Raw genomic sequence first — 14,643 nt, forward strand, 5'->3', positions numbered from 1 at the left:
CATCTTGAATAGTCATTGCCCAACGGCATTCTGAGTTTCTATGTATTTGTCATGCAATGATACCCCATGAGCTCTTGCAAATCTCCCCTGGGAGGTCATTATAGCTGAGCAAGAGTCCATGAGGATTTCAAACATAGTCTTCATTACATTTATGCTTCCAAGGAATCAATTGTCCTTCTCCAACTATGTTTTCTGAATTAATGCAGTTCTCCAGGCCTATGGGGAAGTGAGATCTCTTATTTAATGATGTGCCATCCTCATGTACTGCTGCTTTCCACTTCACCCAACAGAGGTTTAAAAATAATATTCTCTTTTGTGTGTTTTCTTGTGGATTGTACTTGTGGAATAATGATATGCACACCTCCAGGACAGTTAATATCGAAGCCTGAAATGGAGGCTGCATTGTTGAAAACATTGTGACTATGTAAATTGAATCAAACTTTCCTCTCTGGAAAAGTTTGTTGCCATCCTTTTGCATTAATTCAGTGCCTTGTTCTTACCACCATCTCAGTAGAGTAGGCTGGTAAAGTTACTGCTGTATTTTTATGAAATGAAATTGAGGCCGGGTGCGGTGACTCACGCCTGTAATCTCAGCACTTTGGGAGATCGAAGCAGGCGGATCACTTGAGGTCAGCAGTTTGAGATCAGCCTGGCCAACATGATGAATCCCCGTCTCTACTAAAAATGCAAAAATTATCTGGGCATGGTGGCAGGCTCCTGTAATCCCAGCTACTTGGGAGGCTGAGGCAGGAGAATCTCTTGAACTTGGGAGGCGGAGGTTGCAGTGAGCTGAGATCATTCCATTGCACTCCTGCCTGGGCTACAGAGTGAGACTGCATCTCAAAAAAAAAAAAAAAAAAAAAAAAAGGAAATTGAGACATGGCACAGAGGTGAGAAAGATTTTCAAGGACACAGCTATGAAATCGTTCTGATTCAGTTGAGGTGCTCATCCACTTGGCTCTTTGGCCTTGAGAGCATCATATGCTGCTATCCTTCATGTGCTCCTCTGGTTTCCTGGGCTTGCCTTCCCTGGAGAAATACTACATTCTCTGGGTCTTCTCTATGTCTCATAATCCAAAATGGAAATCATGAAACATTTAGAGACCTTGGAGCCAAAGATGGGCCTCAGTGCTAGTAATATTATTGGTGAGAAAATAACAGCAATGATGTGGACACATTGCATTTTCTTAGTCTGGTGGATAGCATCTTTGGAAAACTTTGCTATTCATATTGATCTGGATCATATGGTGTAAATCAAATGAATGTTCTTGCTGTGCAAACACAGCTTCAAGACAGTTGTTTGTCATCAGTATGCTGCCACTAAGCCCCTTCGGTGTGCAAATTCTGAATCTGCTTAAAGCAATGGCTTTTAATCGATTTTTGGATTATGGATCTCTTTGGGACTCAGTGGATCCTCTTTGAGGATATGGATCCTCTGGAAGGAAAAACTACATACACCCACATTTCTGTACACAATTTCATGGAGTTTACATAGCCCCTGAAGCCAGGTTAAAGCAAAGCAAAACACAACAGTAGAAACCCTTCTGAATAGGTCCAAATACTGTATAGAAAAGAACACCAAGGACCAGGAAAATAAGTGGTTCATTTAAGTCTAGTTAGCAAGATACCAACAGAGTTGAGACTAGAATTCAAGCTACTAAATATTGCTTTTTCCCAATTTTAATGACTTGCTTTTTTAAGTGACATATAACAAGGTATTATATTCAAAATATTGACCAGTCAGTATAGCTCAGGAACATAGCAGATCTGATGAATCCACTGATTATCTCTGTCACTGGGGGTCCTTGATTGAAGGCACATGTTCCCTGAGATAGGAAAAAGCCTGGCAAATAGCCAAGACCTTAACTCCAAGGGGCAGATTTCTAAGCACAACAGCAGCAGCTGATTTGGCAGGCAGGGCCATGATCTGCCCAGGTCAGCAGTTTGCTTCTCCATCAACAGGATTGGGCATCCAAGCCTGAATCTGAAATGAGGCCCACTTGGTGCTGACAGCCTGACCATCAGCTACCCTGAGCTCAGAGATGTTTCTTTGAATAATGTGCAGTTTAAGGTTTGCTGGAAGACAGAGCAATTGATTCGGCTTTCCTAGGCAAAGACTTCAAATTAGGCAATTGAGTTTTGGATGTGGTTTAAACCACAGTCTCCAGAGAGTCATATGCAGCAACATTAGCCTTAAGAATCCAGCATGTAGACAATGCTGGCAGGGTCTGTTGTGTGGTTTGCAGAATCTCTTTCTCTGTCAGATGCTTCCCCCAAAGCAAGAATTCCCATCCTTTTAGGGTTAGCGAACATTAACCCTGTGATGAGACCCGGAACTCATCTAATACAAATCCAGTCCTATCTGCCCTGCTCATCTGCCCCCTTTCCCTCCATCTTATAGTTATGGAAACAGAATCTCAAGGAAGAAAAGTCATGAACTCAAGGTGTTGCAGATTTTGTGTTGAAACTCAGTTCTATGGCAGCAAGCCCAGTGTTATTCACAACATTGCTCGGTTGGTGGGTGTGATGGTTAATATTGTCAACTTGATTGGATTAAAGGATGAAAAGTATTGTGCCTGGGTATGTCTGTGAGGGTGTTGCTAGATGAGATTAACATTTGAGTCAGTGGACTGGGAGGGGCAGAACCACCCTCATCTGGGAAGGAAACATCCAATTGGCTATCAGTGTGGCTAGAAAAAGCAACCAGAAGAAGGTGGAATGGGCTGACTTGCTGAGACTTCTGGCCATCTTTCTCCCATGCTGGATGCTTCCTTCCCTTCCTCCTGCCCTTGAACATCAGATTCCAGGTTCTTTGGCTTTTGGACTCTTGGATTTCTACCAGTGGTTTGCCAGGGGCTCTTGGGCCTTCCACCACAGACTGAAGGCTGCACAATGTCGGCTTCCCTACTTTTAAGGTTTTGGGACTTAGACTGAGCCACTACTGGTGGCTCCTCGTCTTGCAGATGGCCTATCCTGGGACTTCACTTTGTGATCCTGAGGTCAGTTCTCCTTAATAAACTCCCTTATATATATATATATATATATATATATATATATATATATATATATATATTATATGTAAATATATATAATATATAAAAATATATTTATATATTATAAAATATAAAATATATATTTATATATTATAAAATATAAAATATAAATATATATTATATATAATATAGATATATATATTATATATAATATATATATTATATATAATATATATATTATATATAATATCGATATTATATATAATATAAATATCGATATTATATATAATATAAATATATATATTATATATAATATAAATATATATAATATAAATATATTTATATTATATATAATATAAATATATATAATATAAATATATTTATATTATATATAATATAAATATATATAATATAAATATATATAATATAAATGTATATTTATATAATATAAAGATATATAATATAAATGTATATTTATATAATATAAAGATATATAATATAAATGTATATTTATATAATATAAAGATATATAATATAAATGTATATTTATATAATATAAAGATATATAATATAAATGTATATTTATATAATATAAAGATATATAATATAAATGTATATTTATATAATATAAAGATATATAATATAAATGTATATTTATATAATATAAAGATATATAATATAAATGTATATTTATATAATATAAAGATATATAATATAAATGTATATTTATATAATATAAATATATATAATATAAATGTATATTTATATAATATAAATATATATAATATAAATGTATATTTATATAATATAAATATATATAATATAAATGTATATTTATATAATATAAATATATATAATATAAATGTATATTTATATAATATAAATATATATAATATAAATGTATATTTATATAATATAAATATATATAATATAAATGTATGTAATATAAATATATATAATATAAATATATGTAATATAAATATATATAATATAAATATATATTATATATAATATAAATATATATTATATATAATATAAATATATATAACATATATAAATATATATACACACACACATACACACATACATACATACATATATGCATATATCTCCTATTAGTTCTGTCTCTAGAGAACCCTGACTAATACAGTGGGTCTTTTTTTTTTTTTTTTTTTGAGACGGAGTCTCGCTCTGTCGCCCAGGCTGGAGTGCAGTGGCGGGATCTCGGCTCACTGCAAGCTCCGCCTCCCGGGTTCACGCCATTCTCCTGCCTCAGCCTCCCAAGTAGCTGGGACTACAGGCGCCCGCCACTACGCCCGGCTAATTTTTTGTATTTTTAGTAGAGACGGGGTTTCACCGTTTTAGCCGGGATGGTCTCGATCTCCTGACCTCGTGATCCGCCCGCCTCGGCCTCCCAAAGTGCTGGGATTACAGGCGTGAGCCACCGCGCCCGGCCACAGTGGGTCTTTTTAAAAATACCATCTTTAAAAAGATATTTTTGTGGCAACTTTTAAAAATATATTCTTTTCTATTCCTTTATATATTTTATGGCAAAACATATTAAAAGTCTTGAGTCAGAGCAGATTCCCTTGCAGGGAAGTCAACACTGCCTCCTTGAAAATATACCCTTTAAAGTGAATTTTCCTGATTTTGCAATGGGCAAAATTGTTTGGGGTTGCATGTAAGCAAAGGTCCTGTGCCCTGGGGTCTTACCTCACCAATGCTGCAGAGGATCATTCTATGGCCAGGGCCATAATTTGTCCAGTGATGCATGCAACTCTGAGGGATTCTAAAACATTTTATTGTAGCGTTGTATTGCCCTAACCTTTTCAAGATGACAAAGGAGATATTTCCTGCACCCTAGTGTTTCTCAACACAAATATTAGCTTGGAGTGCTTTATTCTATTTCACCCTCCAAAGGAATCTGTTATTGAAATTTTGGAAACAGAGATGAACAAAACCATCCCCCAATCCATTTACTGCAATTCCTAATTACCCCATGCTGTTTGTCTGTCTTGGACATTTTTGTGTTCAAATTGATGTCTGGAATAGGTAAAGTTCTCTGGGTTATGTCAACAGGATTATCACAAATCCTCTCTCTAATAGTCCTGCAGGGATTGGCATTTATCAAAGTACTGGTTTCAGCTGCCACAGTCTCCATATTCTCCATATTCATGATATCTGCATATGAAAACTAGAGTTCTATTTGCATAGGGATTAAAACATGATATGAGTTTTCCTATAGCTTATGTTCCCCAATGTAGAGGCAAAAATGGGCTACCTTTTCTATGTACTTTCAGTTTTATTTATGGTTTAAAATATAGCAAATTTTTATTTATATTTTTATGATTATAAAAGCGATATATACTCATTGTAAAAACTGGAAAATGGAAAATAAGAACAACCTCTCCACAATCTTACCACCAATTGCATTTTGCTGTGCTTACATTCCTTCTATTTTCCCCCAGAAATTATCTGCATACAGCATATAAATTTTATCCTTTTCTTTAACATGACAATATATGCCTTTTACAGTGTTTTAAAGATAATGTTTATATACCATTTTCAAGGGCTGCATAATCTGTAATGTGAGTACATCATAATCAGGAGCTACACTGTTTCCTTTTATTGTTTTTGCTACTGTAGACATTACTGCTTTGAAGACTTTGTGTATACTAAATGTGGGTAATAGCTCTCAAATGCCTCCTCAGGAGTGGCATAACTAGTCCAAAAGGTTCTTTTTTAAGGTTCTTGACATAAATGACTGGTACTCTCTAAGACAGTTGAATCAACTGATACTGTCACTAGCATATTACGAGAATGTTTATTACATGCCAGTTTCACCAGACCTGAGATATAGATACATACATATACCCATTCACATGCACACATATAGGTACACATTATATTTATTTCTTCTCAAATTTTACAGACAAGAGTCATCTCTCATTGTTATATAAATGTAAACATATTTGATCACAAATGGGGTCAAAGTTTTTCCATATAATTTTTTTTGTTTGTTTTGTTTTAGACAGAGTCTGGCTCTGCCGCCCAGGCTGGAGTGCAGTGGCGTGATCTCGGTTCACTGCAAGCTCCGCCTCCTGGGTTCACGCCATTCTCCTGCCTCAGCCTCCCAAGTAGCTGGGACTACAGGCGCCCGCCACCACACCTGGCTAATTTTTTGTATTTTTAGCAGAGATGGGGTTTCACCATGTTAGCCAGGATGGTTTCGATCTCCTGACCTCATGATCCACCCGCGGCCTCCCGAAGTGCTAGGATTACAGGCATTAACTTTTAACCAACTGTATTTCTTTTACTGTGAACTATCTCTTCCAGTCATTTCATGGGTTGTATTTTAAGATCAAAGCTGAGCACCATGAGAACACCATTGTACCAGCTTGTTTGTCCAAAAGACAACAGAACTTCAAAGCCATGAGGTGCCTGCCTTTCTTCCAATCAAGTGGACTCTACTAGTCATCCGTAGAGATGCACAAGCTTGGAGCATTTCCTTGTATTTAAGCTGAGGTAAGTTTTCCCATGTATGACTGTAGAAAAATGTGGCTTAAAGGAACCCCTACAGAAATGCCAAATGTCCTACTAGCCATGGGGTCTCATTTGGAACAACTGAAAGAATGCTCTGTCATTGGCCTGGAGGTCATTCTAAGAGGTGGGCAATCACAGGAGCTCATCTAGCACAGTGAAGGGGTTCTGCAAAGATCTTGCACCACAGATTCCTGTAATGAGAGGACTGTGCCTGAGGCCTTGGTTTAATTGGCATTTTCCTCCTCCTTCTCTGCTCCCATGGAAAAGCAAATCAACTTGGAACATTTAAATGGAGCTTTCTCTGAAGTCTCCTGCCCAGTGTTCTCTCTGAGAAATAAAAGATCCATCTTGAGGGGCTTAAGTAACTGGAAATATTTGACACTTGGCATTTCCAGCTTCATGGAAAGGAATCAAAGAGAAAGGAGGGTGGGAACAGCTGATTTTTGCACAGCTCTTGTCCCCTCTGTGGATCAGCACCCTTCCCAATCGTGCTTGCGTGCCTGTATGTGTATTTGTGTGTGTTGCGTGTGTTCTTGGTTGACAGAGTTCAACTGCTTTGTAAAGGACCAAAGAGTGAAATTAGTCAATATTAAATTTTAGAAAGTTAATGTGATCATTTCATTAATTCCTTGCATTTAATTTAAAAAACAAAAGTGACTTCCTGTACTTACATGCTGCCAAGACTTGAAACAGACATTTACTGTCTTAAGACAACTGAGGTCTGGGAGAAGTCATTTACCAAGCTCTGAAGAGAAGTTGAACTATTGGTCTCTAAATTTCTTTGCAAATCGTATTTTGGATACTTTTAGACTTTATGACCCACCCTCAGAAGGAGACAGCCTTTGATATGTTTTTCCATATTAGGATCTCATCTGCTTATAATTTGTTGCCTAGTCTCCTTGCGACCCAGGATATTGCATATCTGAGATGGATGGCTGGGTTAGGGGTACAATCTGTGACTTGGTAGCAGTTTTTTCTCTTTATGAGCCCAAATTTAAGGTTTTCTTTATTAGTTCCACATGCAAACTGTCCCAGATACAGTCACCATCTCTTTTTGACCCCAACCCAGCGTAGTATATTTTGGGGCTGTGTAGAGCTTCCCATCTGATTTTAGTTTAAATTGACACCCCATATAAAAATAAGTTGAGATGTCCATTTACCAGCAGGAAGTTCTGGGAACTGGAGTCCCATAAAGAGCTTAGATCACAGGGCCAGGTCAAAACAAGAAATGAATCTGTGTGTACTTACAGCTAGAGGCCACCAAAATTATGTGTGTGGGTGGTTTCTTACAGGATAGAGGGAAGATAACTGAAAAAACACAAAAACAATAAATCCCAATATTTCCTTTTGAGCATGGAATAACTTTGGAAAAATTCATTCATTCATTCATTCATTCAACAAGTGTTTACTGAGTGCCCTGATGCGCCAGCCTGCAACTGTGCCTGGCACTAGTGAGACAAGATGACGTGTGTTTTGTCAGGGTTCAAGGTTCACTGCAGGGGCCACAGGTTAAAGTAGGTGCTAAAAGAAAAAAGAATAAGCAGACAAAGGGATACCTGGAGAGCTTGAATCTTGGAGAGAGTGCAGATTCTCAGGCTGCAGTGATGTATATTAGTTTCCCATTTTGTATCACAAATTGTGTTACACAATACCACAAACTTAATGGCTCAAAACAAGACAGATTTATTCTCTTACAGTTCTGGAGGTCAGAAGTCCTAAAATGGGTGAGCAGGGCTACATTTCTTTTAGTTGTTCTTGGAGAGAATCAGTTCCTTGCCTTTTCTAGCTTCTAGAGGCCACCTACATTCCTTGGCTCAAGTCCACTCTTCAACTGCAAAGCCAGCAGCACAGTATCTTCTAATCTCTCTCTCTTTGTCCCTGTGCTTCCCTTGTCACACTGACTTTTGTCGTGTAAGGACCCTCATGATTATATTGTGTCCATCTGGCTAGATTATCCCATCTTGAGATAAAATGGGATAATCTCCCATCTCAAGATCCTTAACTTAATTACATCTGCAAAGTCTCTTTTGTCATATAAGGAGCATATTCACAGGTTCTGGAGGAGAACTATCATATAGGCCATAGTATAATAGCAAGGAAATTGGATATTTTAGATCATAATATAGATGATCCTTTACGGTTATTTGTCTTTGGGAAAAGGACAAAGGGAGAAGAGGATAGTGATTCCTCTCAAGCTCCATCTTGGTGCTCCTTCCCCTCCAAGACCAGAATGCATGTGGATGGTTATTTCCAAAACAATTGTAGACAGGGGAATTACAAATAAAGGGATGAAAGGCTGGGGGACCCCTGATTTAGGGGAACTCTCATGGGAAATATCTATAGTCAATGAAAGTACAGTCTCAGGCAGGCCCACATTAATAAGCCCCTAATTAGTGTACTTATGGAGGAAGGCACCATGTTGACTGAGGCATGATGGGCATTTCCTCCAAAGGATTGCTTTTGGGCTGACTCTGTTGGGTCTGAGGTTCAGGGGCAGCACAGTGAGCCAATTAGCTCTCCTGTCACCAGGCCGATGAAGAAGTCTCTCCTATCACCCTCCACACCCAACACACATATGCACCAACACAAACACAGGCATACTCATCAGCATACACATGCAGACACAGACACACACTTTCACCTTTATGTACATATACATGGTGATCTTTCCCCTACAAATATTTTTAATTGATGTAATTAATATAGTTAATGTTTTTGAGCAGTTTTAGACTTATAGAAAAGTTTAGCAGCAAGTATAAAGAGTTCCAATATTCTCCCTCATCCCCCACAATTTCCCTTCTCATCCTCTTGCATTTGTTAAAATTGATGAGCCAATATTAATATATTATTACCAAGTAAAGTCTATAGTTTACATTAACATTCACTCTTTGTGTGATACATTCTGTAGATTTTTGACAAATGTGTAATGACACGTAGCCACCATTACCGTACCACACAGGATAGTTTTACCAACCTAAAAATTCCGTGTGTTCTACCCCCATCATTTAAAATGTTTCTTTTCTGGGAAGTTCAGTAAAGTTTTGAACCCCTTTTCACTAATTAATGTGTAGCTTCTCCCAGACTCTATGGTCTAGTGTTCTTGAGTGTGGTGTGCCTTATCACGCTTCCATATGAGAATAGTTCAAGCTTGTAGTAGAAGCTTTTACTTCTTTCAGCAGAATTAGCAAAAGCTTTTACTTGTAAAGGATTTCTTTTCTGTCCTGAGGTCAGTGGTATACTGAGCCTGCTCATACTGCCTGTGAGATCTCACTGTATGCATTTCTTTCCAACTCTGAGTTCAGAGAGGTCCAGCTGGTAGTCTGAAATCAGTCATGGTAGAAGTATTTAGACCATGGACATCAGCAAATGCTACAAATCAGGGTTCGTTTTTTTCCCCCTCAGAGAGCCAGCTATTAAACATTGACCAGACGCTTTCTGGAGTTCTCCCTTTATCTGCTTCTTCATGGCTGGGAAATAGCAAAACTAGAGCATTTGCCTGGGATTCAGAGATGGAAGCCACAGGCTGGGTCAACTTAGTGGTCTGTGTCCTTGATGAGTTTGTAGAGAAGGGCCATCCCTCAAACCCTGGACTATTCACCTATGGACTTATCAACAGGAAGATAAACTATATTGTTCAAGCTGTTGTATTGTGAGACCTTTCTGTTATAGCAGCTTATCCTGTACCCATGAATAGAGCCAGCTAATTCTTGCCTGTGTACTTCTGCTCAACACTCATTCACCTGCCCCCCCTTCGATTTAGAATGATAATGTACATATAAGATGCATCTATTGTTACCTTTACAATCCATTTTCTAAATAGAAGCTAGAATGACCTTTTAAAATATTAATCAGATCACTGATTAAAACCTTAAAATGTTCTAATGGCTTCTCATTGATTAAGCCCCTCTTTGCCCTGCCTGCCTCCTCTTATGTCTTTCTCCCTCTCACTTACCAGGTTCTGGTGATGCTGGTCTTCCTTCTGTTTCTTGTACCACTGAGACTGCCTGCCTATGGCACCTTGCACTTGACATTTCCTCTGCTAGGAGTTAGGCTGACTCTTTATCATCTATGTACCACCTCCTCCCTGAGCCACCAATCTCCAGGGGCCTTTCTTACTGCTTTTATTTTCTATTTTTTTATAGTATAAAATAGCATTTGTCATCACCTGAAAGGATTTTGTTATTGATTGGATTCCTTATTTATAAACTGTCCCTCCTCAGCCAGATCATAAGATCAATGAAGGGACATCTGTCTATCGTATCTACTTTTAAGCACCATGTGTATACTGGTGGACAACCACCGTAGACGCTCAATAAATACTTGCCAAGTGAATACCTGATTATCCAACAGAACAGTATCAGCCTTGACTCTGTCCTCAAAGAGCTTAAAATCCATCTGCTGGTGACTTTGAAGCCAGGCTGTCAGTAAGATTAGGACAGTTTCTCATGGCACATTCTGCGACACAGTCTGCAGGGACAAACTTCACTTTACAAAGCAAGAATTAATTACAATACCAAAGTAACCCAATTTATTTATGTAAATTGAATTTAACTTAATTTCCAACTAGACTGGTCCACTGACTAACCTCCCCCCAATTTAAGGAATTTTCCACTTCATGAGAAGGTGAACAGAAAAAAACTGTTATTCATATTTTCATCAAGTTTATTAGAAACCAGGGATGATTCTGCAGCTATTGATATCACAGTAGGGGGAGAGAGAGGAGGACAGTGACTTTCCTGAGCTGATCTCTAGCCTGACTCAGTTGACTTTTTCTAAATGTCTTTCTTGGTGAAGCTGAAGAAGTTGTCTTGCTTTCATCAGCCTGAAAGGGAAGCTCATCAGCCGGAAGGTGGAACTTCTGGCAGCTGCTTCCCAAAAAACCCCTCTTCTTTCCCTTGACTTGCACTGAAACATTCAAGCCCAGGCTTTGAAAAGATTGAAATGTCTTTAGAAATCTTTGCACTGTCTTTATTCCAGGGCTACTGCCAGTCTTTGGCACTCCAGGCTCAGACTTGCACAGAAACCTCCTACTCTCTGAATCACTGGTGCCTTTTCCATTAGCCTGCAGGTACCCACAAAATATGCAGAGAAGATGTCTCTTGCTGTGTTGATTTCTCTCATTCTCTCTACTCAGGAAAGGGAGAATATCCCCAGCCCCATTTCAAGCTGTCATCATGAACAGTAGTGGAGGAGTGGATTTGCCAAACAGCTGTCAGAGCTGACACCAGGCAGTGTCAGCAGTGGGGCTGGAGCTAACCCTTGGTGGAGCGACTTTCCTCTTGCTCAATTCCTGGGTTCCCTCCTACTGTTCTGAACCAATGACGCAGATGGCAAGTGAAACAGGTAAGTTACTCATCAGCTGCTGCTTCTTTCAGCAAATGGTGAGAATGAGCAAGAGCTCTCTTTTTAAGGCTTGCCTGAACCCATGGAAATAGGGGGTATGTGTATAGGGTTTGTTTCAAGGTGAATGTACTCAGGGAGAAGTCTTCTGTGAGCGACACTGGGCATTTGGTTTCTCTCCTTCATTACCATAGAACAGCTCCTCTGTATTGACTGTCTCCCTCACTGACAAACTATCAATAGGCTCTCATGATAGAGGTTTTCCAATGATAGAAAACAAAAAATGTGAGAGTCCACTGAATAAAAGCTTTTAAATAAGTGCTCTAACTTTAGACATTCCTATTTTGATTTATGTTACTGTTTACTATAGAAAATAGTAAATAAAAAAACACAACGGAGCTTTACAGATTTTTCAACATTTTGGACAGAAATCCACTCTGTCTCCATTATTCCAAGTCAAAGACTGCAAACACATGGTATATGGGTTCACTTCCTATGACTCTGCCACAGCAGACATTGCTGAATGATCACAGCATTCTTTCTTGTTGAGCTGAGATACAGTGGGAGAATCCCTCTGGACACAGTGTTCTCAGCAGCCACTATAATCGATCAGAAATGTCATATGAAATGAAATCCATTTGCCATCCCTGTTCTAAGTTAATGAGGCCTTACTGTATGTGTGTAAGCCCAGGTGTCACCTAGGTTGGCCTCAGCTGATATGCTCTATATGCTCTCGTTTTCTAAATTTCAATTCCAGACTCACCTTTGTGGGGACACAGACTCCTGCCCAAAGTGAATCAACTATCCTGTTTTTCTCTCTCACCAGTGTTTCTCTCTGGGGTCACTAAAGTGTGGACCAAAGGGGCAGCTGCAAAACCTTGCTGGGAGCAACTTTTTCTGTGGCCTTGGAAAGTCAAGTCCTAATAGGAAACCAGTGCTCCCGAAGACAAGCGCATTGGAAGCTAAATCTAGCTAGGGCATCCTTAATGAATCTGTGGTGCACAGATCTGGCCTTGAGCCATTTTCTGTAACGTTCTCACTGATCTTATTTCAGAGAATTGTACCAGTTTTGCAGCAAATTACAAGGAAGGCCTGGCTTCTGAAATTAGCCAAAGGCCAATTAAGGTTTCTCTGGGTTCTTTCCGACTGCAGCGTCATCATAAATGACTCTGTGGTGCAGGGGAGGGCTGACATTTTCTAAGCCGGTATCATATTTTGGGTGTGATTAAAATCTTCATCTCAGTCACCTGCCTGACCAACTGCCAGTAGCCATGAAACAAAAGGATTACAGCCAATTTACATCCATTAACAAAATGACTTGAAACACTATCGGTTTAGCCTCAGTGGGGCTTAATCTGATTTTCAGAAGGGAAGAAGAGATGTAGAATTAAAGGCAAGAGGAAAGGCAGAAAAGAAATTCAAATGAGAATTTTCTTTGAAGCCCAGGGCTTTTTTGGTTTGTTCATTTTCGTAAGGATTTACTAAGTGCTTGTCGGGCTTTTATCACTACAGTAGACCCTGAAAGGGTACAGAGGAAGGAGAAAACACTAACAATGCCTGTCCTTGAAATTTGCGGGACAGTATGGGAGAAATACCATATACTGAGGAAGCAGGCGATTAGCAAATTTGTGCTAGCAGGAATTTCTTCAACATCCTTCAAGTGCCTGGCACTGTTAAGAAAGAAAATAAGAAAAATGAAAAATCACAGTTGATATTTAAATGGCTCTTACCATGTGCTTTGCATGAAGACTTCTGCACGTGGTGACTCAGTCTTCACAACAACTCTGTCCTGTGCATTCCATGGTTATCCCCATTTTTCAGATCAGCAAAGAGGCCCAAAGAAGCAAAGAAACTTGCCCAGGATCACACAAATCAGCAGGAGGAGCTGGGATTTGCACACAGTGAGTCCGGCCATAGAACCTGAGATCATAGTCATTATTCTCTCAAGGCCATGGGGTAGTTGAGGATTTGCATTCTCCCTGGGGAGATCAGTTAAGCTAGAAGTAGAGGATGAAGAAATGGAGGCAAGATGATGGTGTCAGGAAGGGGGAGGGACCTGGGCTAAACTTTGGGCATGGATGTGTACAGGGTGGGGAGAAGCTCTGCACAGGTGGGTAGAAAAGGTTCCAGATCAAGAGAAGAGCAGGAGCAGAGGTGACTGAGAGCATGACTGCAGTTAGAGACTAAGGGGTTTGTAGCTGTCCAAGGAAGAGGACTCATGAAATCAAAGGCTGTGTTCATGCAAGGACAGGGAATATAGCACTGGGGACAGAACAAGGACTTGGAATCTAACAGATCTAGGTTTAAAGTTTGACTTTACCACATGTTCCCTGAGTGATCCTGAGCAAGTTACCTGAGCTCTATTGACCAATTTCCCCAAAAGGAAAATAAGAAGAATGGCTATGGAAGAATAGGAAGAATATTGCATCTTGTAAGGAATTCACCTATTTATTTATTCAAAAATATTCACTGAGTGCCAATCGTGTGCCATGTGTTGCCCTAGATGTTGAAACAATGAACAAGATTCACATGGTCACTACCTTCCTAGAGTTTGCATTTCAGCTGGTGAGGCAAACTAACAAATAAGCAGAAAAAAAGTCCAGATTATGAGAGGAGTTTTGAAGAAAAACTCAGAAGGCACCTGGAATCAATGTCTTTTACAGTGTCTAGGACAATGTTTGGCATGTAGGAGGCAAACATTTTACATGACACTAAGCGCCATCTTGGAATTCAGTACATGAGAGGAAACCATGGTGTCAGATCGCTT

At 39.1% G+C, this 14,643-nt stretch overlaps 1 long non-coding RNA gene across 1 annotated transcript in view; it reads left to right on the forward strand.

Moving 5' to 3' along the window:
* The first annotated feature begins 6,279 nt into the window (after positions 1 to 6,279).
* LOC105378485 (uncharacterized) overlaps positions 6,280 to 14,643 on the forward strand; it is a 47,984-nt gene continuing 39,620 nt past the window's right edge. Inside the window, exons 1-3 of the long non-coding RNA XR_007062289.1 lie at positions 6,280 to 6,518; positions 11,671 to 11,879; positions 13,698 to 13,777. This is a non-coding gene — a long non-coding RNA (uncharacterized LOC105378485). The remainder of the gene's footprint in view (positions 6,519 to 11,670; positions 11,880 to 13,697; positions 13,778 to 14,643) is intronic.

This window comes from Homo sapiens, chromosome 10 (genome assembly GCF_000001405.40).
Source record: "Homo sapiens chromosome 10, GRCh38.p14 Primary Assembly".
Classification (NCBI taxonomy): domain Eukaryota; kingdom Metazoa; phylum Chordata; class Mammalia; order Primates; family Hominidae; genus Homo; species Homo sapiens.